General features: G+C 43.7%; 1 protein-coding gene across 5 annotated transcripts in view, besides 1 other annotated feature; it reads left to right on the top strand.

Annotated features, from left to right (window-relative positions):
- The window catches only part of SMIM35 (small integral membrane protein 35), an 83,330-nt gene that overhangs the window by 34,127 nt on the left and 23,535 nt on the right, over window positions 1-25,668 (top strand). For 3 of the 5 annotated variants that reach the window (NM_001394164.1, XM_024448283.2, NM_001354434.2), the window contains one exon: window positions 20,868-21,016. The exons of the other annotated variants lie outside the window; for them this stretch is intronic. In NM_001394164.1, coding sequence (NP_001381093.1) covers window positions 20,962-21,016 — 55 coding nt within the window. In that variant the 5' untranslated portion in view covers window positions 20,868-20,961. The remainder of the gene's footprint in view (window positions 1-20,867; window positions 21,017-25,668) is intronic. 5 annotated transcript variants of the gene reach the window in all.
- Window positions 19,252-19,331: an enhancer, noted in NCBI's record as "active region_5582". NCBI's record gives its function as "activates an Ori minimal core promoter by ATAC-STARR-seq in GM12878 lymphoblastoid cells {active_cell/tissue: GM12878}" and the evidence as "EXISTENCE:reporter gene assay evidence [ECO:0000049][PMID:35858748]".

Raw genomic sequence — 25,668 nt, 5'->3', positions numbered from 1 at the left:
GGGAGAAGGCTTCCTATTGTTGGAAGTATTTGCTGTGGGTCTCGGAGGGTGAGCAGGAGTGCCCCAGGCTGAGAGGTTCCAGGAGAGGCAGGCAGGGGCACATTATAAGCCAATGCCTATGTTTGGCTGGACAGAGAAATGCCCAGGTGGGGGTCGTGGGATGTGGCTGGAAGGAAGGGGGCGTAGGCGATCACGTTAGGGAAGAGCTAGGGGCTTATCTCAGAGGAGAGAAGCATTCTATGTGGGAGCCAGGGCAGACTCAGGTTCTGTGGGGGCCTGAGGCTTACATAGTTTTGAGGCTTTCTTAGATGAAGAATACAAAATTATAAATACAAACTTAGGAAGAGGGACTTGGAAGGGTCCGTACAAGTGAGCGGCTTGAAGCTTAGCTTGTTGGCCTCCTGGCAAATCCTCCTCTGCGTGGGAGACACATCTTCCACAATCTCCCTGCTTCCCTGCAGGGCCCCAGCCTGCCCTCAGCAGCTCCCCGCTTGCAGCAAACCACCCACTTCCCTCTCACTCCTGCCTCTCGCCCTTCTTTTGTCCCCTGGAGTCCTGAGCAGCCGTAGAAGGCCGGACGCGGGAAACTGGAGTCTGAGTTTTCCTCTGGGGAAAGGGAGGCAGAGCTGCACAGCTGTTGGGGGACGTGGGTGGGGATGACCTTTTCTATGGTGTTTATGCAAAGAGCACCCGCTACCCGCATTGTTCCAAGAGTTGCCTTTGAACCTGGACAGCAACTCTTATTCCCGCTTTAAACAATGTACAGTGTGGAAGAGTTCCCGCTCTTTGCCAGGCACTTTCACACCTCTCATGTCATCAGCGCCATGTTCTAGGGAGGCAGGCAGTACTGTTCCCTCTGCAGAAGGTTCATGATTCAGACACCTGGCAGGTGGGACCTCACACCTAGCACTCTCCCTGCGTCACCCGTGTCTCTTGTTCACAATCAACCCAAGAGTATTAGTATTAGTATAGTATTAGTATTAGTATTAGTATTAGTATTAGTATTAGTATCAACCTAAACTAAGATTGCCCTGCTGGGGCACCAGTACAGGAAAATGTGTCACTGTAGAGGTGAAACCACAGATGACATGGCTGGCTTTGTTATTCTCCCCTTCCTGTGGTGTGTTTTGATGGTAAGGGTGTGCACAGGTGGGGTGGAGCTGGCAGCCCTTGTTACACTGTCTGCACTGTAGTGAGAGTTCTCACCGTTACCCCCTTCTTGGGCTGTTGGGAGAGCTCTCGCCTGGGTTTAACCTCAATTTCAGGCTATCACCAGTGCAATGGATCGCTGAGACTCAGCCCTGATTTGCAAGATCTGCTGGGTGTTCAATATGAGGGTCTCATCCAGGGCATGGGGAGGAGAGAAGTGGCCGCTAATTTAAGTTGCCTTTAATCAAATAAAGAAAACCGAGCATCCAGCTGTGTTAGACTGTGCTAGGATAGTGCCGAATCAGGCATGGCCTTGTCCTCATGGCTCACTTCAGCATCCACGAATGGCTCCTGTGTGCCAGGCAGTGAGCTGGCTTGTGGGAGACCCAGGGGTGGGTGAGCAAGCTGTGTGCCTGAGTGTGAGAAACTCCCATCTGTTTCAGGATGTCAGCCTTTGTTATAAATCCACAGAGAACAATACAAGGCATAGCATCGTCTGTACAAAACTGGATAGGATAGTTTCTCTGCTTCTTGTGCCACCAGTTAGAATAAAAGACAATGCCTCCGATATCCACTGGTCCTTTCTTGGCTCTGCATACAGGCAAACATGAGCCTGCCTCTACCTCCCTCACACATCTTCACAAAAGCCCAGAGCAATCCCTTCTGTCTCTCCTGCTTTACTAAAGGATGAGAATCAGAAATAGGGGAATGGAATGAATCAAAGCATCTTCCCTGCCCCCAGATAAGCTCTTCTGCAGATAGGGTGGGGATGGATTGGGGGAGGTCACTGGAGCCATTTTCTACAAAGGATGCTCAAAGGTTTGGAAGTCCTGGGTCTGGGATTCAAGATGCATCCCTGTGGCAGAGGTGACAAAGGAGAGAGGAATCATCCAAGTATTTAGGTGTTTCAATGCTTCGGGCAGATCTACAAAACCCCAAAGCCTCTGAACTTGCAACCAATCAAAGCAACCCTGATTTATCCTATTTTCTGCAACATGCATGCATCGGCCGGCACTTATGATGAGGAAGCAAGGGTGGGGGCTAGAAGAGTGAGTGAAATGGAGGCTTTGAGGCAGGAGGACTGCGGGGGTGCTCAGGATGGGTGACCGCCACTTTGTATGTGTCAGTTGTTTCTGCTCCCCACCTTCTTGCCCAAGGTCTGGTGGGGATAAACGGAGAACCAAAGCTGCCTTGGGTCTCCAGATGGCAGGGGCAGCTGATGGTTGGTGTCAGTGGCTGGGTGCTAGTGCCCAGCTCACCTGGGCTGTGCATGACTCTGGCCCACTTGAGCCAGACTTGGCTTTGTCTGGGCAGGGGCCTTGGCCTAGGTTCCCCCAGCTGGCACCCCGTCTTTACAGACCTAGGAGCCCAGGAGGCCTGTGGGGCAACCTGTGCCTGGGATGCTGCCTGGGTGAAGGAAGATGTTCTGTGATTCCCCAAGGCCCTTTTCCTCTTCCATTACTTCATGTGACTCTCACAGCAATAGCACGAGGTATACATCACTCACCAGCCTCTTCATTTTATGGAAGACAACCTGGAAGGTCAGAGTGGCTCACCTGAGATTGTGCAACTGGTGTGTCCCAGGGCTGGGGCTCCAGCACACACTCCTCTGAAGGCAAGCCCTGTGCTCATTCCAGTACTGAGAGACTTCAAAGACCCTCTCTATATCCGCTCCCCACAAGGATCCTGGGCCCCTTGGTACCTTCTAGGCCCCAGTGACTCCACTTCAGCATGAGGTGGTTTGAACTCAGTGGCACAGGTCTCCACAACACCTCCCTGACTATCCTCCCTCAGCATCTAGTGTGGGAGGCACAGTTTGCACGGCGGACACATTGACGGCAATCCAAGGCAGGAGTAGTTAGTGAGGAACGTGGACTTACCCTTGCCAGACTCTTTAGATCACGCCTCCCATCAATAAACAATTTTGCGCATGCACTCTGATATTTATGTATTTATAAAGTATATTTGTATTTATACTCAAACATATATGACCATTAAAAAGCACACACGCAAAAATTAAATTAAAAGCATTAAGGATGGGCCAGGTGCGGTGGCTCATGCCTGTAATCCCAGCACTTTGGGAGGCCGAGGTGGGTGGGTCACCTGAGGTCAGGAGTTCGAGACCAGCCTGGCCAACATGGCAAAACCCCGTCTCTACTAAAAATACAAAAATTAGCCGGGCGTGGTGGTGTGTGCCTGTAATCCCAGCTACTCAGGAGGCTGAGGCAGGAGAATTGCTTGAACCCAGGAGGTGGAGGTTGCAGTGAGCAGAGATCGCGCCACTGCACTCCAGCCTGGGTGACAGAGCAAGGCTCTGTCTCAAAAAAAAAAAAAAAAAAAAAAAAAAATTAAGGGTGGAACAAACATGCGAGAATTGCAGCTTCCCTTCAAATCACTCACAGACGGTTCTGGGGTCCCCAGCCAGTGTCTCAAATTCAATGTTTGGACCAGTCTCCCGGCCACTCTTGGCAGGGGCCATTGCCCCTCTCTGGCTCTGTGTGGCATTGTCTCCTGTGGTCCCTGGTGCCAGGGCAGTGGCTACCCTGTGGAGGCCTGGAAAAGATCCCTGACCCCTGCCCACCCCTGACGTTGCTGCTAAAGCTCACGCTGGCAATGTCCCTGGGAAGTTTAGTGAAATAGCGCTCTTACTTAAAAAAATATATTTTTGGTTGCAAAAGTAGTACATTATGATTATTGGCAAAATCATCATCGTTTTCACTTGCTTTTTTTTTTTTTTTTTTGCAGCTCTTCAGCCTAGGCGATAGGCATGAGGCTGCAGGAGGAAGGAAAGCTGAAGGGCAGGTTTTCCCCTTCCCCATCCTGGCCCAGGACCTGTGACACTTCACTCCTTTAGGTCATGTCCTTTCTAGAAAGCACCTCCATCTCTTCCGGGATGGCCTGCTGTTTGGCTATTACTCATGTGTTTAATCTAGGGCCGTGTTTTTTGTTTTTTGTTTTCTGTTGTTTTTTTCCCCCATACTTTATGACTTTTGCATCATTCCTGAGCCAGCTGTATCATTATTTACTTAATTTCTTTCTTTCTTTCTCTCTTTCTCTCTCTCTCTCCTTCCTTGCTTCCTTGCTTCCTTGCTTCCTTCCTTCCTTCCTTCCTTCCTTCCTTCCTTCCTTCCTTCCTTCCTTCCTTCCTTCTTTCTTTCTTCCTTTCTTTCTTATTGAGATGGAGTCTCGCTCTGTCATCCAGGCTGGAGTGCAGTGGCGCAATCTAGGCTCGCTGCAACTTCCACTGCCCAGCTTCAGGTGATTCTCGTGTCTCAGCCTCCTGAGTAGCTGGGACTACAGGAGCACGCCAGCAGGTCCAGCTAATTTTTTTTGTATTTTTAATAGAGACTGGGTTTCGCCATATTGGCCAGGCTGGACTCAAACTCCTGACCTCAGGTGATCTGACCGCCTCAGCGGGATTACAACTGTGAGCCACCGTGCCCGGCCTAATATTTTTCTTAAATCTGACTCACTTTTTTAAATTAATTACTTCCTTTAACCTTGTTCTAAGACATAAAATCCACAAAATCAGGATTTGATATGCTAGTTAAGTCTCTTCTTAAAAACGTGAAAATAAATGCATAGCTATTAAAACAATAAATGGCTCCTGGGTACCACTATGATCACCTCCCATGTTACCAACGGATGCACCCCCACTCTGGGGGCAGTGATGGGGAGGCATGCAGAGAGAGGGCTTGGCGAGGTTCCATCTGAGCCCCAGAGACACCTCCTAAGAGACTGTCAACAAGCCCCTTGAAACGCTCTGGGCTGCTGTCTGCATCTCCTTCTTCCCAAGACACAGACCTTGCCTAGCAAAGCTTAGGCACTCAAGCCAGTACCCTGGGACAAATGTGGAGGGTCACAGAGATCCCCAGCCCACAGAAGGCATTTGCTTAGGCTGCTGTAAAGGAAGCTTTGCCTTGACTGCCCCCAAGGTGAGTGGCCATAGCTCATACTCAAAGTCTCAGTTTGGCTGCTGAAATAACTTATTTGCTTCTCTGTCCATGGGGCTTCTCCGTCCACTAAATCCTTCAAACAGAAGCACTGTTTTCTCCATCTCTCCCAGCCCTCAGTCTCTGGACAGGACAGTCTAAGGTCTGGGATCCTCTGAGATGGCTGTGGCCGGCTGTGGGTGTATTGCCCATGCCTGCTCCTAGATGACATCTTGGCTGTCCTGAGCCACCACCAAGATTCTGTTGAGGAAGAGTCAGGGCAGAAGAGCTGAGCTTCAGGGTGTCATCTGTCAAGAATGCCCCAGAATGCCAACCTCCAAAGCCCCGACTGGGGCCAGGGCTCATTCTTTGGATATTTTCTCTGTCTCCATCTCTCTCCCTTTCTCTCTGTTTTCAGACACACAACAAGTGTATGTATTCTAGAATGCTTGTTAATTGGTTAATTTAGTTAAAAACAGATGAGATCGCCAATAAATCCATGTCACAGACCACGTGTAAACATGTCACAATATGCTAACCCCCTTAGACCCTCGCAGATGCACACAACATGTGGGCCACTGACACAAGGACAAAGTGTGTGTCATTTCTCCCAAGGTCACCGCATTGGGGTGGTGGCTGACTCTCAGCAGCCGGTTTACTCCTAAAACTCATTCAGTGGTAGGGAAGCTCACTTCTATTCCTTGACTTTATCTTGCTTAGGGAAGTAATAAAACTATTCTTGGGACTGGCTTCTACAAAGAAATTTAAAATGTTTATTTATCTTAAACTCCTTTACTCAAAACAATACATTTTCAAATCTAAACATCCTTCTCTCTAAACTTAAGTATGTTCAGTATGACTCTCACTTTCTTCCTCCTCAAAGTGAGATAACCAGAACTAATTACTTTGGGAAACTCCCTATACCGACTCTCATATGAATAGACTTTGATGGACCTGTTCCTCTGTCCTCCAGACTCAAACGGTGTCAGTCTGGCTGTGAAAGAATCCCCTGGGGAGCTTATTGAAAATTACAAATTCCTGGGCCCACCTCTGGAGAGTTTCCTTGGATAGGTCTGGAGTGGGTCCCAGGTACTCCATTCTTTGAAAGATCCGTAGGGAACTCTGAAGAATTTGGGAACAGCTGCTCTATACCTGCCCTGACTTGCCTTAATTGGAGGGACAACTTGGCTCAGACTTAAGGCAAGGTTCTTGATATCCAGGCGTCTGTTGAGGTTGAGGGCTAAGCAGGCAGGAAACTACCTGATGTTAAGACTGCATTTCTGACACAGCCAGGCACCAGGACTTACAGTTTTTTGGGGCCTCCTGGTTCTTCATAAACCCTATCATCAGTGCAAAGGTTGATGCCAATCTTCCTGTGTGCTTGGTAGGAGATCACACATCCATCTAATCTAATGTGGTATCAGACCAAAGTGGCATCATCACTTAAAGATAAAGGGGCCCGACTCTGAGCCTTGTTTTATGTCATAGGAAATTGTGATCTGTCAGGGGCTGTTTCTGCCCACCTTATTGTTGCATTAGAGATCAAAGGCAGACTTTTGGTCATCAGTAGGTGGAGATCTCTATGGGTACTTGGTGCCTAACTGGTCTCTGTCCAGAGGAGGACAAAGGCTACTGATAAATTATTGAAGAGCTGCCAACACTCTATGCTGTTCTAGAAAATTTCACTCTAAGTGAAGGAAAATAACTTATTGAATATCTACCATGTGTCAGGAGCCATATAACTCTCCTTTCACATACACGTCTCACTTAATCTTCACGTTAACCTTGTGAAGTTAATATTTTAATCCCCATTTCAACATAAGAGAGGATTAAAACTCAATCTTGCCCAGAGTAATGATATTTTAGCTTCCAGATGGCCTGGCTCCAAGTCTTTTTCCGTCATCACACACTGCTAAAGCAAATATCCCGATGGTCAAGAGTTAAAAAGATCTGCCTGAAATCTGCTGTCTGTTCATTCATTATACTGGGTTGAAAGATTCAGAGCTGTACATTATCAGAGAGAGAGTGAAGGTAAAGTTTAGAGAGCAGTAAACAAACCAATGGGTCTAGTTTCAAACAGGAGATACTTGATTTTTTATTGTTATGTGATTGGTTTGTTTTCTTCAGCAATATTATTCATCACACAAATATTTCTATTGCAAAAGATGAAAATCATGTGAAATTGATGATACCTGTTTTTGACCTTTAAAAATGACAATTTTATATGGTTCAAGCTAATACTAAGGCAAAACTTGAAAGGCTCTTTTTACTTCTACTCCCTACCCCACTCCCCTGGTTCTTCATAAACCCTATCATCACCTGCTTTACACCTGCCCTGACTTGCCTTAATCATAGGGAGAACCGCAACTTGGTGACAGCCTTTCTCTCTCTCTAGTGTGTGTGTGTGTGTGTGTGTGTGTGTGTGCATGTGTGTATACCATAACTAGAATTATGTGATATCTATTCTTCTGCAACTTGAACTGATCTTTAAAACGTGGAATTGATGAGCAACAGATGAGCAACAAAGGAGGAATTCTTGATTCCAGCTGGAGAAAAGTGTAGGCTCCATAAAACCTGATGTATTGAGGGTGAGGGGGCCTAGAAGCCAATGGAGATGAAAATGTTCCATTTTTCTTGCCAAACCTGGACCTTGGGCAATATCATCTCCACATCTGCCTCCACCATTGATCCTAATAGTAAAGCCTAGGGCCTCCCACTAGGGTCTGTTGTACTTAGGTTTTGAGTTTTAGAACTTCCTTCTGATTTTGTTTGATGTGTTGCTAATCTTCCAGGGGGTTGTGCTGCTTGCTTCTTCATTTTTTGTTTTGTTTTGTTTTAAAGTTCCTTGTCAGTATAATCTAAAAGCTAGAGATGTCCAATCACCTGCTGGAGGTTTCTTCTAAGTGATCAAACTAGGAGGTTTTTTGTTTGTTTGTTTGTTTTGTTTTTTTTTTAGTAGAATGAACTTTTTTTTTTTTTTTTTGGAGATGGAGTCTCACTCTTGCCCAGGCTAAAGTACAGTGGTGCAGTCTCGGCTCACTGCAACCTCTGCCTCATGGGTTCAAGCAACTCTCCTGCCTCAGCCTCCGGAGTAGCTGGAATTACAGGTGCCCGCCACCACGCCTGGCTAATTTTTGTATTTTTAGTAAAGACAGGGTTTCACTGACCTCAAGTGATCTGCCCACCCTCAGCCTCCCAAAATGCTGGGATTACAGGCATGAATCACCGCACCCATCCTAGAAGGAACTTTAAATGGGAGTTGGAGGGGCATCTGGAGAGAAATCATGATTTAGATGGGCGGTGGGATGACCATTTGCAAGATCTCCTGGCTTTAGGTCAGTTCATCCAAATGGCTTGGTAAATAGTAAGGTGCATAATGCCACCATTACCTTCATGCTGCTTGGCACGTACTCACGGCTGCATTTTTTTTTTTTTTTTTTCAATTCTGCCAGACTTCTCAGTGACTAAGATTTGGTTTCTGGAATATGAGTAGATGGATAGATAAGTACAATTAGGGTAGATTCTTACCTAAGTGTAAGGATCTTGATACCTCTGCTTTTTGCATGGGTTTTGAGTGTTACATATCTGCAGGAAACCTGGATTATAGAAAATGCATTTCAATGCACTTCTTCAAGTTTAAGGATTTAGGAACTCCTTCTCTCCAGGGGATAATTTAGACAGAGATAAATATAGGTTGGCATTTTATCGCTTTTTTAACAGCTTTGTTTAGATATAATTCACATAACATACAATTCTCCCATTAGAAGTATATAATTTAATGTTTTTAATATATTCATGCATATCTGCAGCCACCATTACAGTCAATTTTAGAACATTTTCATCGCCTAAAAAAAAAACCCATACCCTTTAGCTAAGATAACCCCCTCCTTTTCTCCCCACTTCCCCTGGCCCCCCCATAACCTACTTTCTTTTTCTTTTCCTTTTTTTTTTTTGAGATGGAGTTTCTCTCTGTCGCCCAGGCTGGAATGCAGTGGTGCGATCTTGGCTCACTCCACCTCCCGGGTTCAAGCGATTCTCCTGCCTCAGCCTCCCGAGTAGCTGGGACTACAGGCGCCCACCACCACGCCCAGTTAATTTTTTGTATTTTTAGTAGAGACAGGGTGTCACTGTGTTAGCCAGGGTGGTCTTGAAATCCTGACCTCGTGTTCGGCCCGCCTCAGCCTCCCAAAGTGCTGGAATTACAGGTGTGAGTCACTGCGCCCAGCCTCTACTTTCTTTCTCTATAGATTTTCCTCTATAGATTTTCTGGATATTTTGTATAAATAGAATCATATAATATGTGGACTTCTGTGACTGGCTTTTTTCACTTAGCATAATGTTTTTGAGGTTCATTCAAGTGGCATGTATCAATACTTCATTTCTTTATATGACCGAATATTCTGTTATATGGATATACCACATTCTGTTTATACATTTGTCTGTGGATTCCTTAAGATTTTCTTTAAAAAAAAAAAAATGTTTTACCAAATACCCAGACTTCAAGGAGGAGGATTTTCCATATGTAAGACTGTGTTATCTGTGAACAGAGATATTTTCATTTCTTCCTTTCCAATCTGGATACCTTCTATTGCTTTTTCTTGACTATTTCCCTGGCTAGAACCTCCAGTACAATGTTGAACAGAAGTGGTGAGACCAGACATCTTCGTCGTGTTACTGATCCTAGGAAGAAAACATCTGCCTTTTACCATTTAGCATGATTGCTGTGGGTTTCTCATAAAGGCTCTTTGTCAGGTTGAGGAAGTTCTCTTCTGTTCCTAGTTTGTTGAGTGTTTTTATCATGAAAGAGTGTTTGATTTTGTCAAATGCTTTTTTTGCATCTATTGAGATCATCATGTGATTTAAAAAATTCTACTGGTACGATGTGTTACAAGAATTGATTTTCAGATGCTGAACTAATCTTGCTCTCGAGGGAGAAATCCAGCTTGGTTATGATGTATACTTATTTTTAGATACTGCTGGAATTGGTTTGCTAGTATTTTGTTGAGGATTCTTTATTCTTTTTCCACATACAATCATTCCTAATTGTTGAGGATTTTTGCGTCCATATTCATAAGAGATATTTTTTCTCTGGTTTTCTTTTCTTGTGATGTCCTTGTCTGGTTTTGACATCAGGGTAATATTTGCCTTATAAAATGAGTTGGGAAGTGTTTAGCCTCTTCTATTTTTTGGAAGAGTTTGTGAATAACTGATATTAATTCTTCTTTAAATGTTTGGCAGAATCAGTGGGAAAGCTAATTAGGCTTGGGTTTTTCTTGTGGGTATTATTTTTTATTGCTAGTTCAGCCTCTTTATTTGTTATACTTATTCAGATCATCTGTTTCTTCTTGAGTCAGTTTTGGTGGTTTGTGTATTTCTAGGAATCTGTCTATTTCATCTAAGTTATCTATTTTGTTGGTGTACAACTGTTCATTGTATTTCTTATTATGTTTGTTTCTGTAACGTTGACAACAATGTCCCCTCTTTCATTTCTGATTCTAGTAATTTGAGTCTTTTTTTTTCTTGGTTAACTTAGCTAAAGGTTTGTCAGTTTTGTTGATCTTATGCCAATTTTTTGTTTGTTAGTGTTCTCTATTGTTTATTTTCTATTTTATTAGTTTCCACTCTAAGCTTTATTTCCTTTCTTCTGCTTGCTGTAGTTGAGTTTGTCTTTCTTTCTCTCTCTCTCTTTTTTTTTTTTTTCATTTGTGACAGAGTCTCACTCTGTTGCCCAGGCTGGAGAGCAGTGGTGCAATCTTGGCTCACTGCAACCTCCACCTCCCAGGTTCAAGCTATTCTCCTGCTTCAGCCTCCCGAGTAGCTAGGATTACAGGCATCTGCCACCATGCCCAGCTAATTTTTGTATTTTTAGTAGGGACAGGGTTTCACCATGTTGGCCAGGCTGGTCTTGAACTCCCAACCTCAAGTGATCCACCGACTTCGGCCTCCCAAAGTGCTGGGGTTACAGGCATGATCCACTGTGCCCGGCCTGTGTTTCTTTCTCTAGCGTCTTAGAAGATTAACTGGAAGATTAGGCCATTGATGTGAGATCTTCCTTCATTCCTAAAGTAGGCATTTACAAATATAAATTTTTCTCTGATCATTGCATCCCACAAGTTTTGGTGTACCGGGTCTTTATTTTCATTCATCTCCAAGTTTTTTAAATTTCCCTTTTGATTTATTCCTTGATCCATTGGTTATAGGTCGTATTTAGGAGTGTGTTGTTTAATTTCCACATATTTGTAGAATTATTCCCATTTATTTTGCTATTGATTTCTAATTTTATTTCATTGTGGTCAGAGAATATACTTTGTATTATTTTTATTCTTTAAATTTTATTGAGGTTTGTTTTACGGCTTGGCATATGGTCTATCCAGGGGATGTTTTATGTACACTTGAATGCATATTTTGTTGTTGAGTGGAGTGTTTTACAGATGTCTGTTAGGTGTAGTTGGTCCGTAGTGTTGTTCAAATCTTCTATTTCCTTGATCTTCTATTGAGTTATTCTATCCAATATTAAAAGTGGAATTTTGAAGCTTTCACTTATTATTGTTGAGTTTTCTATTTCTCCCTTCATTTCTGCCAGTTTTTGCTTCATGTATTTTGATGCTTAATGTTTTAATTATTTTTTCACTATTTTTAAGTGGTTACTCTAGGATTTACCATGTACATCTTAGCTTACCAGAGGTCACTTCAGATAGCTTAATACCAGTGATGTATAGAAATATTACTCCTATGTAGCTCTAGTCTCTTCTCCTCTTTTGTGTATTATTGTTATATATGGTATACATTATATATTATTATATTATGCAATATATTTTTGTTATACATATGTCACATCTATTAATGTTACAAACTCAGCAATATATTGTTATAATTATTAGTTTATCAACTACAGTCATGTCCTTTGCTTATACTGCTTTGCTCCCATCCACCCCTTAGTGCTATTATTAACAAAAATATTACATTTGTATATGTTATAGGCCTAACCTTACATTATGTATTTTACATATATATAATTTTGTATGATTGCTTTTTAAATCAGTTATGAGGACAGAAATATGCACTTATACATTAAAAAAATTGTTACTAGTCACCTTTTTTTTGTGTGTGTACGTATTCAAATTAGCATGAGATCATTTGCTTTTAGCCTGATGGATGTCCTTTGGTATTTCTTGTAAGGTGAGTCTGCTAGCAACAAATTCCATCAGCATTTGTTTATCTGGGAAAGTCTTTAGTTTGCTTTCATTTTTGAAAGATAGCTTTGCTAAACGTAGGACTTTTGGTTGACAGTTCTTTTTCTTTGCGCATCACTCTCTGTGACCTATATGTTTTTGCTGAAAAGCCAAGTGCTAATCTTATGAAGGTCCTCTTACAAGTTCCCAATGCATTGTTTTTCTCTTGCTGCCTTCAAGGTATTCTCCTTGTCTTTTACTTTCAGCATTTTTTACTATTAAGTGTCTGTTTGCAAATCTCTTTTAGTTTTTCTTACTTGGAGATCATTTAGCTTCTGGATGTGGAGGTTATTTACTTATTTTTTTCTAAGACAGAGTCTTGCCCTGTTGCCCAGGCTGCAGTGCAGTGGCATGATCTCGGCTCACTGCAACCTCTGCCTCCTGGGTTTAAGCGATTCTCGTGCCTCAGCTTTCCAAGTAAGTGGGATTACAGGTGTGCACCATCATGCCCGGCTGATTTTTTTTTTTTTTTTTTTTTTGAGATAAGGTCTTGCTTTGTTACCCAGGCTAGAGTACAGTGGTGCAATCTCAGCTCACTGCAACCTCCATCTCCCTGGTTCAAGCGATCCTACCACCTCAGCCTCACTAGTAGCTGGGACTACAGGCCTGTGCCACCACACCCGGCTAATTTTTGTATTTTTAGTAGAGACGGGGCTTCACCATGTTGGCCAGGCTGGTCTCAAACTCCTTTTCTCGAGTCCCGCCTCGGCCTCCCAAATTGCTGGGATTACAGATGTGAGCCACTGCGCCTGGCCAGGTTATTGTTTCTCAATAAATTTGATAAGTTTTCTGCCATTATTATTATTATTATTTTGAGACAGGGTCTCGCTCTGTCACCCAGGCTGGAGTGCAGTGGTGTGGTCATGGCTCACTGCATCCTTGACCTCCTGGGCTCAAGTAATCCTCCCGCCTCAGCTTCCCAAGTAGCTGGGGCCACATGTGTGCACCACCACACCCGGCTAATTTTTGTATTTTTTGTAGAGATGGAGTTTTGCCATGTTTCCCAGGCTGGTCTTGAACTCCTGGGCTCAAATGATCTACCCACCTCAGCCTTCCAAAGTGCTGGGATTACAGGAGTGAGCCACCGTGCCAGGCCACTAGCTCCTCTATTCTTGTACAGCCCTAAAGAGGCCATTACAGAACTCCTGGGCCAGGGAAATAAAAATCTGTGTTGGTCTGATCCAGTTTCCTAATTAACTGAATATAAGCCTTAATGTTATACGTCTCCCACCAAAGCTACCTGTTGAGATAACTGGGTATTTGGTACTTATTCCATGTATTCCATGGCAGAGACAGTAATTCCTCAAGGTTAAGTCACCACCTTCTCTTGCCTCCCAGTTGGTCTTTCTCCCTTCATTTTTGCTCTGCTCTAATTTATTCTACACATGGCAGCCAGAGTTGTTTTAGAAAGGGCACATTTGGTCATGACGTTATACTGCTTCAATACTTGAGTGGTCTTCCATTTTTCTTATTATAAAGCCCCAAATCCCTAAAATGGATGATAAGACCCTGTTTATCTCTCCTGCTTCTTCTCATGCCCCTTTCTCTCTGTGCCCCACTCTCTGCTCCACCCCCTCTCCTCACTTCACACCTTCCATCCTTGCATGTAATCCAGCCACACATGAATCTTTCACATTTTTATTGTCTAAGTATCATGCTCTACCCTGTTTTGAGCCCTTTGCACATGTTGTTTGCTTTGCCTAAAATGTTATTATTGTTTTCTTTTCTGATTCCTATCATCTTTCAGGTCTTGCTTAAATGTCAGATTCAGGAAAGGCTTTCCTAACCTCTCAGAGTAGTTCAGGTCCCCTGTTTTTTTTTTTGTTTTTTTGCTTTCTGTTATGAAAACAAAACAAATGCCCCAGGAGAAGGGTCCATGATTACCAGAAACATCAAAGAGTGTTTTCTACCATTTTTATTCTGTTGTGTTGAGGCCAACATTGCAATAAACAAGCTAATACTACTTAAATTGGACTCATTTGCAGTAGCTGACATTTACAGGAATATACTAGAAATGGCACTAAAAAGTTTAAGAAAAGTTATGGCAAACTTGCTTGCACATCATATAGAAAAGTAACATTTTAAATATAAAAAAGAAAAACTTCCTGGAATTGTTATGCCAGTATTAAAGAACAGCGCTACACTGGATGTGACAAATTCTTTACGTGGGTGTTATTCTTTCCCAAAGACTGTCAAAGGTGTGAGTGCTGCAAAAGAACAAAAATGAAAACAAACACAAAAGAAAATGTGTCTTATAGTTTATAAGCAGGACGACACTGCCCAACACAAAGAGGGGTCTGGAGTTCAGTTCACGCCCGAAGCCTGCCCCCTCGGCCTCCAGGGGTCATTCAGAACATTCTCAAATCCATTTCTGACACACGACTTTTCACTGCTCCTCTCCCCTTGAAAAAAGCATGCTAGAAGCTGCCCTACAGGTCTGAGCAGTGGGACAATCTAATTGAATCACTGAGGGCTTTTAATACATAAGAAATGGACATGACCATCACCCTCAGCCCCACAGCAAGGGTTTGAGGAAGTCATCAGTCCTCCACAACTCTGAAAAGAAACCAGAGTTGAAGTCTGGACAGAAAGCTTTAAAAAAGTGACAGCACCAATGCAGCCACTCGGTGTGCCCTAGGTGTGCTGTCAGGGTCAGCAGCTTCTTTCTAGATGAAAGGAGCAGAGGCAACAATGAAAGAGTACCCATTCTTCCTTTTGTTATTGGAGCAGGAGTACTAGGCGGACTAGGTACTGGCATTGGCGGTATTACAACCTCTACTCAGTTCTACCACAAACTATCTCAAGAACTAAATGGTGACATGGAACAGGTCGCCGACTCCCTGGTCACCTTGCAAGATCAACTTAACTCCTTAGCAGCAGTAGTCCTTCAAAATCGAAGAGCTTTAAACTTGCTAACCGCCGAAAGAGGGGGAACTTGTTTATCTTTAGGGGAAAGATGCTGTTATTATGTTAATCAATCCAGAATCGTCACTGAGAAGAAATTTAAAAAAATTCGAGATCGCATACAACGTAGAGCAGGGGAGCTTCAAAACACCGGACCCTGGGGCCCCCTCAGCCAATGGATGCCCTGGATTCTCCCCTTCTTAGGACCTCTAGCAGCTATAATATTGTTACTCCTCTTTGGACCCTGTATCTTAACCTCCTTGTTAAGTTTGTCTCTTCCAGAATCAAAGCTGTAAAGCTACAAATGGTTCTTCAAATGGAGCCCCAGATGCAGTCCATGGACCCCTGGACCGGCCTGCTAGCCTATGCTCTGATGTTAATGACATCGAAGGCATCCTCCTGAGAAAATCTCAACTGCACAACCGCTACTACACCCCAGTTCAGCAGGAAGCAGTTAGAGTGGTCGCTGGCCAACCTCCCCAACAGCACTTGGGTTTTCCTGTTGAGAGGGGGGACTGAGAGACAGGACTAGCTGGATTTCCTAAGCCAACTAAGAATCCCTAAGCCTACCTGGGAAGGTGACCACATCCACCTTTAAACATGGGGCTTGCAACTTAGCTCACACCCAACCAGTAAGGAGAGCTCACTAAAATGCTAATTAGGCAAAAACAGGAGGTAAAGAAATAGCCAATCATCTATTGCCTGAGAGCACAGCAGAAGAGACAATGATCGAGATATAAACCCAAGCATTCGAGCCAGCAATGGCTACCTTCTTTGGGTCCCCTCCCTTTGTATGGGAGCTCTGTTTTCACTCTATTAAATCTTGCAATTGCAAAAAGAAAAAAAAGAAAAAAAGGAGCAGAGGCAAGCATGACACCACCATCGCAGAGAACCAGCCCAGATGGAAAGGCCCCATGATGCTCCTGCTACCCTCTGCCCCCATGGCCAGCTGCCTCCCTGATGGCTCACACAAGTGGCACCTCACTGCCCTGCAGCTGGAGGGGCACTCCAAGGAGCGCCCTTCTCCCCAGGCACCCCCAGCTTAGGGTGTATGCATCACCCAGCCCTGTGCTGGCAGCACGTTACCAATCAGCCTGCATGAAGACCTGTCAGCTGTCATGTGTGAATTCCTTAAATTCAGTTAAATAGTCCATTAAAGATGTGTTTAGAAAATACCTTTGTAAAACAAAGGTAACTTAAAAAAATGGAAACTTTCAAATCCATTTATATTTTTATTATAAACAAAACTTAATTAAAAGTTTAACAAACTGGCTGAAAACTCACCAAGTGTCAGACTCACCAGCAATTAGAAAAATGGTAATTTACCAGCATTTCCTCATCAGAGTTCTCTCTCTGGTAAGGGTATATCTAGATCTGTAAGGGTCAGTGGACTGTGAATCAATTTTATGGTTTTTTAAAAATCACCACGTATTGGCCAGGCATGGTGGCTCATGCCTGTAATCCCAGCACTTTGGGAGGCCGAGGCGGGTGGATCACTTGAGGTCAGGAGTTTGAGACCAGCCAGGCCAACATGGTGAAACCCCATCTCTACTAAAATACAAAAATTAGCCAGGCATGGTGGCAGGTGCCTGTAATCCCAGCAACTTGGGAGGCTGAGACAGAAGAATCGCTGGAACCCAGGAGGCGAAGGTTGTAGTGAGCCGAGACTGTGCCACTGCACTCCAGCCTGGGCGATAGAGCGAGACTCGACTCTGTCAAACAAACAAACAAACAAACACCACATATTAGGATACTAATGATAGTCCCTATATCCATCCAGAAGTTCCAGAAGTGCTGGCATAAAGCACTGACCACCCCACGGCTGCACACTTAGCACCTGCCTGGAGGATCCCCCATGCTGAGGTCCAGGAGAATGCTTTGTTTCAGTCATTTCTGGGCTGTGACAACACGTGAGCAGGGAGCACTGTGTGAGTCTCCAGGAGGGAATCCTCCTGGGGCCCAGAGACTCCTCCACACCTGAGGAGGGCAGACTGGCTGGGGAGAGCCTGGCCAGGCCCCTAGAGACTGGCAGGGGCAGGCATGCCCCACCCACGCAGGTCCTTCTGTTCTGATGGCACCTGGACCCCCTGTACTTTTTCATAGAACATACGTTTTTGAGCAACCGATTATTAGGGTGCTGATCTGTTGAACATACCTCCTCATAGAACATGAGCTCCATGAAGGCAGCGCTCCTATGTGCCTTGACCACTCTATGCCCAGTGTCTAGTACAGGGCCTGGCACACAGTAAGAACTCCATAAATCCTTGTTGAGTATGGAAATTAATGCTCTTTGGGGCACAGAATTCAAGGGCTGGCATGAGAGGTGGGCAGGGAGAAAGTCCTGGGGCTCTACTTAGAGCTAATGTGGAACTGGTGGAAAAGTTGTTTAAATTTCAGACGGGCACTTTGGGAGGCTGAGGCGGGTGGATCACTTGTGGTCAGGAGTTCAAAAACAGCCTGGTCAACATGGTGAAACTCCGTCTCTACTAAAAATACAAAAATTAGCTGGGCACAATGGCGGATGCCTACGGTCCCAGCTACTCAGGAGGCGGAGGCACCAGAATCGCTTGAACCCAGGAGTTGGAGGTTGCAGTGAGCTGAGATTGTGCCACTGCACTCCAGCCTGGGCGACAGAGTGAAACTCTGTCAAAAAAAAAAAAAAATTCAGAAGGAAACTCCTCACCACTTATATTCATAACCGCAATTTGGACTTACTAACTGGCAAGTCTAATGGACACATATTCCAAGGGGAGCTTCCCTGAGAGTTCCATCCTGGGCTGGTGTTATAATAAGGTGGTTGGCTCCTCGTCCCCCTTGTCATTCTTTGGGTGAATAGCTTGGTGCATATAGAAAGCAGCCATTTCCCTCCTACTTTCACCCTTCACATTGTGGACACTGAGCCTGTTTGTTTGTTTTGAGACAGGATCTCGCTCTGTCACCCATGCTGGAGTGCAGTGGCACAATCTTAGCTCACTGCAACCTCTGCCTCCCAGGCGATTCTCCAAGTAGCTGGGACTACAGATGTGAACCACCACGCCCAGCTAATTTTTGTATTTTTTGTAGAGATGGGGGTCTTGCCATGTTGCCCAGGCTGGTCTTGAACTCCTGAGCTCAAGCTATCTGCCTGCCTCGGCCTCCCAAAGTGCTGGGATTACAGGCATGAGCCACTGGGCTGAGCCCCCTAAGCCTATTGTAACCCATAATTGGAATGGTGAGTTTTTGGAATATAAATTGAGACAGTGACAATTTTTTAAAAAAGTAATCAACAACTAATATTTATTAAGTGCTTTATTTGTAGTAGACATGTATTATTTTATTTTATTTCTTTTTTTGTGTGTGTGTGAGATGGAGTCTCACTGTTATTGCCCAGCCTGGAGTGCAATGAATGGCACGATCTCAGATCACTGCAACCTCCATCCATCTACTGGTTTCAAGCGATTCTCCTACCCCAGCCTCCTGAATAGCTGGGATTACAGGTGCTTGTCATCATGCCTGGGCTAATTTTTGTATTTTTAGGAGAGATGGGGTTTCACCATGTTGGTCAGGCTGGTCTTGAACTCCTGACCTCAGGTCATCTGCCCGCCTCGGCCTCCCAAAGTGTAGGGATTACAGGAGTGAGACACTGCGCCTGGCCTATTTTAAATAAATCTATGGTAATTCCAGGCGTTAGGGTACTTTTATTATTTCCATTTCATAGACAAATGAACTGGGTTTCGGAGAAATTAAGTATCTTGCTCATGGACACATTGTAAGTAACTGGTAAAACTGAGATTCAAGTTCACATCTGTTTGGCACAAGCACCCAAACACTTAACTTTTGTTCTATATTGCCAAAGGATTGTAGAATTCTATGAATGATTTCTTACTGACTGATGGTCTTTTGAAATTTCATTTACACTTTCACCTGAAGTGCCTTTTGAAACTGTCATCTTGAAGTGCCCCCGAGGGAGGGAGGCACTTTTCTTTCGGTATCAGGAGATCACTGAAACCCAAAATCTGCGTTCACCCTTCCATGTTTGAGTAAGTGCAGGCCTTGCCCTAAACTTTCTTGATTTTACAGGGACATTTTCTGGAAGCCAAAGCAACAACAACAACAACAAAACAGAAAAAACCCCTTGACTATACAGAGAAGGCAGTTTGTAAAGAAATAGGAAAAAAAATACACAGGAATTTATCGAATTTAAATTCTATTTAAACTGTGTTGAAAGCCTCTAAGTCTGATGCTTGTCAAAGGACTTTGACCAAAACAGAAGGGTAGATTTTAAAAAGTATTCCACAGGGTAAGGTTTGGGTGAGAAAAAAGTCATCGAAACGTAGACCTAAATTAATAAACAAGAGGCTTTTCTCAGCTACATGGTCCTGACAAAACTGTTTTGAAGTCTGTCTATGTGTTCTAGAATCCTTGTTAATCGCTAATCAAGAACAATCCCTCATACAGATCTTTAAATTAAAAAGCCTGAATTAAATAAAACACCAGGTAAAGACTTTCTGCTACCAAAATTGTTCAAAGCCTGACTTAATTGATGAGAGCTGATCCTTATTCACTTTTTGCCTTAACTGTAGAGAGAAAAATAAAAATTTCCATGCGTGTGCATGCAAATGTCTAACATTATTATGTATTAGTTTTTTGAATGTAAAAAAATAAGAAAAACAGAAATGACACATAATCTCACTCTCCAGAAAACTCCTTTTTTTGTTGTTGTTTTTTGTTTTGAGACAGAGTCTCATTCTGTTGCCCAGGCTGAAGTGCAGTGGCATGGTATCGGCTCACTGCAACCTCCACCTCCTGAGTTCAAGTGATTCTCGTGCCTCAGCCTCCTGAGTAGGTGGGACTATAGGCGCCTGCCACCACGCCTGGATAATTTTTGTATTTTTTGGTAGAGACGGGGTTTCACCATGTTGACCAGGCTGGTCTCAAACTCCTGACCGCAAGTGATCCCCACATCTCGGCCTCTCAAAGGCTGGGATTACAGGTGTGAGCCACAATGCCCAGCCTCCTGTATTTGTTTTTATTAGAGTAATACATGTACCTGGCAAAAAAAAATAAACTATGCAGGAAGATATAAAATGAAAAACAAAAGCTCTTTCCTACCACCACCCAGTTCCTCTCCCAGATCATCACATTACTTTTCTTCTGCATCTGTCCAGAAGAATAAGGTGTATATATACATTAAAATGCATATCATGAAATATATAGTCTTTTAAAAGAATTTTACTATATCCACTTAAACTTTGCTTTTTCATATATAATTATTCGTATTACTCTAGAATGTATTTCCTACAGACATTTCCCTACATAACCATGACACAGTGATCAAAATCAGAAAATTAATAACAATACACTACTCCCATCTAATTCTCACATTACTCAAGTTTTGTCAGTTGCCCCGATAGTGGCTTTTACAGCAAAAGGATACAATTCAGAATCACAAGTTGCATTTAGTTGTCATGTCTTTTTATTCTGCTTCAGTCTGGAGCATTTTCTCAATCTTCTCTTGAATGATCTTTATACTCAGGCTGGAGTACAGTGGTGTGATCTTGGCTCACTGTAATCTCTGTCTCCTGGGCTCAAACCATCCTCCCACGTAGCTGGGACCACAGGCACGCACCACCACACCCAGCTAATTTTTTTTTTTGTATTTTTTTGTTAGAGACGGGGTGTCGCCATTTGCCCAGGCTGGTCTCGGACTCCTGGCCTCAAGAGATCCTCCTGTCTCAGCCTCCCAAAGCACTAGGATTACTGGCATGGGCCACCATGCCTGGCCGATGCTGGTTTCTTCTCCTCGCCTCCCCTCAGGTGGTATGCCATTTCTGTTTGTCTCATTACTGATGAAGCTCACTCTGGTCACTTGATTAAGGTGGTGTTTGCCAAGCTTCCCATCTGTAAAGTTATTATTTTTTTCTCTTTGTAATTAATAAGTACTTTGTGGAGAGGAATTTGAAACTAAGTATGCCATTGTGCAGTAAACTTTTAATTAATTAATTAATTAATGTCTTTTGGACTCATGGTTTCTATTTTATTCAGTGGGTTGTTCCCGCCATCACTTATTTTGATACTCAAATATCAAATCAAATTTTGATACTCTCGCCTTCCCTTGAAAACTTAACAGCCATTGCTTTGTCCAATAGAAGCTAGCTTATATGTCATTTGACATGCTCCTATTGTATTTTAGGACCTTCCTTATTGTTGCTGTGGCACAGAAAGATGATTCAAATTCATCTTTTACTTTCCCTGCTGGTACTGAAATCAGCCATTTCTCCAAGGGACCCTGGTTCCTTTGAGTGGAAAATGGCATTCAGAAGCCAAGATCTTAGTGGTAGATGTGTCTGTTGATATTGGGACATTGCTGCCTCAAGCCCTCCTAGTGGACAAAGCTACATACATCCATACAGGTCTATGTCCGTTTCTATATCTATTTATATGTGTATTAAACTGTAGTTCACACCAATAACTTCAATTCCAATCTAACACCACGAAATTTATTCTAGGTGTCTCTCTTTTTGTATTTGTAACTCTTTTTTCCAACAGTGTGAAGTCTGGCGTCCATTAGTCTTAACATACTACTTAATTAATCCTTTGTATGTAATCAACATCGATATTGATATTGATTGATCAGTATCAATCAATATCCAATCTCTGCTGCCATGTCCTCTCTAGCACTAATGTCTGTCTTCTTCTACTTGGGCTCTGATACTTCATGCTGGGCTGCACCATCATGGCCTTTCTTTTTGCCCTGTTGGGCTCTGACTCCACTTGGTGGGCCATAACCCCTAACACTGCCATGGATGCCCTCCTAATCCCATTCAGGCTTTGACTCCACATACCAGGCTATCCTCCACCTAGAACCCTCCTCATCCTGCTTTGGCTCTGATGCTCCAGGTTAGACTACCTCATTCCCTATGCCTTCCTCTTCCTGCTCAGCCCTGACTCCCCACACCAGGCTTCCCATCTTTATGGATACCCTCCTCCCCCAGCTTGGGATCAGGCATCTCGTGCTAAGCAGCCCTTCTCCATGGACCCCGCTTCACGCTGCTCAGGACCACCATAGTGCCACTCCACCACCAATGGCGGCTGGGCCCAAGAAAGAACATGCAGATATTCTATTCTTTAAGTTCTTTTATATTTGAAAATGTCTGTCTTTTATCTTTATATTTGAACATCTTGGGTTGTTAAAATATTTTTGGTTTTCACTTTCTTTCTCTTAGAACCTTGTAGATTGTGCTCTATTGTCTCCCAGCATTACGTTTCTGTGAAGAAGCCTGAGCCCAACATAAATTATGTTGCAAGTTGGGTGCGATGGCTCACACCTGTAATCCCAACACTTTAGGTGGCTGAGGCGGGTGGATCACTTGAGGTCAGGGGTTCAAAACCAGCCTGGCCAACATGGCGAAACCCCATCTCTACTAAAAATACAAAAATTAGCTGGGTGTGGTGATGCATGCCTGTAATCCCAGCTACTCGGGAGGCTGAGGTGGAAGAATCACTTGAACCTGGGAGACAGAGTTTGCAGTGAGCCGAGATCACGCCACTGCACTCCAGCCTGGGCGACAGAGTGAGACATTGTCTCAAAAAAAAAAAAGTTATATCCCCCTGCCCATTCCCCAAGATATTTTCATATTTCTGCATGGATAACCAGGCTCTAGTTAGGAAACATAAGCCACAACAATCATTTTACCAGAGAGAATTTATTCTAGAGAGCTGTTAACTAGGTAACTGAAAAGACAGATAAAGAACACTTGGTGATGTGGAGGTAGCAATGCAGGAGGCAGATGCTAGCATTAAGACTGCGGAAACAAAGGGAAGAACTTGGAAGTATCAAAACATAGAGCCTGGGGGAGGACCTCAGACCTCTGGGAAAGGGGGCTTTGGCAGTCTGGTGCTGGTGTTTCTGGGGCAGAGGGTAGGGTGTAACGAGACTGGTTCCATGAATTTGGAAAAACTGCAAACTAGACCCAACTGATGCTAGAAGAAACTGCTGGGGTGAAAAAGAAACACTGGGTGATGCTGACAGTGATATGACAATAAGAAGCAGACAGGGGGTAAGTCCCCTCTTCATCCTCCAGCCTTGTAGCCTCTCTCTATTGCCTCCTATTGGCAGAACTTCCCCCAGCTGGCAAGAAGAAACTTTTGCAGAGTCCTCATTGTAACATCACAAAGCCAAATAGAGAGAGTGGGTTTGAAACTGAGAAACAACAGCTTAACTGGAACAACACTTTAACTAAACTATATCTTGGTCTTGAGTATTAAGCTAACCTCCCACCTCAGTCTCCTGAGTAGCTGGGGCTACATGCGTGTGCCACCATGCCTAGCTACTTTTTGTATTTTTGTAGAGACGGCGTTTCGTTGGCCAGGCTGGTCTTGAATTCCTGACCTCAAGTAATCCGCCTGCCTCGGCCTCCCAAAGTGCTGGGATTATAGGTGTAAGCCACTGCCCTGGCCTCTTGAGTAACATTTTATTGTAGGTCAGAATCTTTGTCCCTCTTTTGCATTCGGTTTTATTTATTTATGCTATACTTCAAGCGTGTGATTGCCATGTCCTTTATTTGAGTGACTCAGTGCAGACATTCTATTTGTCTGACATTGATGACAGACTATTCTCCTGTATCTTGATTCTATTTTCAAAAAGTGAAATGACTATTTTTACCCGAAACAACATAGCCACGAATTTCTCCTCCTCCTCCTCTTCCTCTTATTTTTCCCCTCCTCCTCCTCCTGTCCTCCTTCCCCTCCTCCTTCTTCTCCCCCAACTTTTTTCTTCTTCTTCCTCCTCCTTTTTCTTCTCCTTTTCCCCTTCTACTTCTCCTCTTGTTTCTCCTTGTTTTTTCTCTTCCTCCTCCTCCTTTTGCTTCTCAGTTTCTCTTCTTCCATCTTCTTCCCCAACCTCCTAATTTACCCCTTGACCTTACTTTGTTTTTAGACTTTTTTCCTCTCCACCTTCTCCTCTTTCTTCCTCATCATTCTAAGTAAATTTTATGCCAATTTTCTTCTTTACGAACTGAAAACCCAAGTTTCCCATGTCAACATTTTATATACGAATAAGCATAGTTTTATTTGTAAAATCAATTTGTAATTTTTTTAAAAGGGGTTTTTATAGAATTAAGATAGTATTTTGGCCAGACCCAGGACTACTGGAATCCTGTCATCAACTACACAAAATCTCTAAGGGAGAGACACATAAAGAAACAGGAGATAAATGTCAAAGAAAAAATAACATATCATAGGACTTATATCCCAAGTCCCCACAGGCCTGTCTTGTAAACTTGACTGGAGCAATGACCAAGGCTAAAGAGCCTTAGGGCATGTTTTTCTCCTCCTTAGCCCAACACCAAATCCTGGGTCTCACCACGCTTTGGTCCACAGGAGCAGGAAACTGTCATAATGAGCATGCCTGTGTGTAAATGCGGGGAGACGATGTTGTCTACACTGACTCCCTACTGCTCCAGTCATATGGAAGGAAGCAATGGAATAGAAGGGCCATAGTTACGACCTCTGAATATATGTTGATCCTGCCCATCAGTAAACTTGGCCCAATTGGCATGACTCCAGAGGGACAGCGAAGCAGGGAGGAAAAGGGGATGTAAAGGATTGTCTTGAATGCATATCTTGCCCTAGAGCCCCATGCTGCTTTCTGGGATCAGGACTAATAGAAGATCACAATTATATTGACTCTTCATGAGCCTTTGACTACATGGTTACGGATCCACATGCAACACTTGCATCTTAATGGTAAGAGTGGAGGCTGGGAGAAATGGCTCCCCCTAGGCCAAATACTACTGTGAGTGACACAAAACAGGACTCCGTTTTGAAGAGCCTCATTCTCTCAAACACCTTTGTGGTCTGAAACTGCTTTTGGATAATGTGGATGTGTGCCTCCCTGCCACAGGTGTTGGAAGTGTGAGTACTTACGTAGGCTGATGGCAATGGGTGGATTGGATGAGGGGCGTCTTCAGGAATCAGTTGATATGGTTATCTAACTGCTAACATAAAGAAGCTCCACATAGCCTGCTCTAAAAGTTATAGCATAGTTCTGGAGATGCCTTTTAAAATTTGTTTATTTCTGTATAATTGTTTTATAGAACAAGTAATTTTAAGCAATAAAGAATAATGGAAAGGACATGGGTTTTGGTGCCAGAAAGAACTGAGTTCTCACTGTGGCTTTGGCATATACAGCTCTGTGAACTGGGTGATTACTTAACTATTAGGAGCTCTAATTACAGTTTCTTTAACTGCAAAATGATGGGCAATAATAATGTAGTCTAAAAAACTAAAATCTACCACGCAAAAAAAAAAGTGGGCCGGGCGCGGTGGCTCACGCCTGTAATCCCAGCACTTTGGGAGGCCGAGGCGGGTGGATCATGAGGTCAGGAGATCGAGACCATCCTGGCTAACAAGGTGAAACCCCGTCTCTACTGAAAATACAAAAAATTAGCCGGGCGCAGTGGCGGGCGCCT

The sequence above is a fragment of the Homo sapiens genome, chromosome 11 (assembly GCF_000001405.40).
Source record: "Homo sapiens chromosome 11, GRCh38.p14 Primary Assembly".
Taxonomy (NCBI): Eukaryota; Metazoa; Chordata; class Mammalia; order Primates; family Hominidae; genus Homo; species Homo sapiens.
The sequence above is the reverse complement of the archived record's forward strand: the minus strand, read 5'-3'. Positions and strand labels throughout refer to the sequence as shown.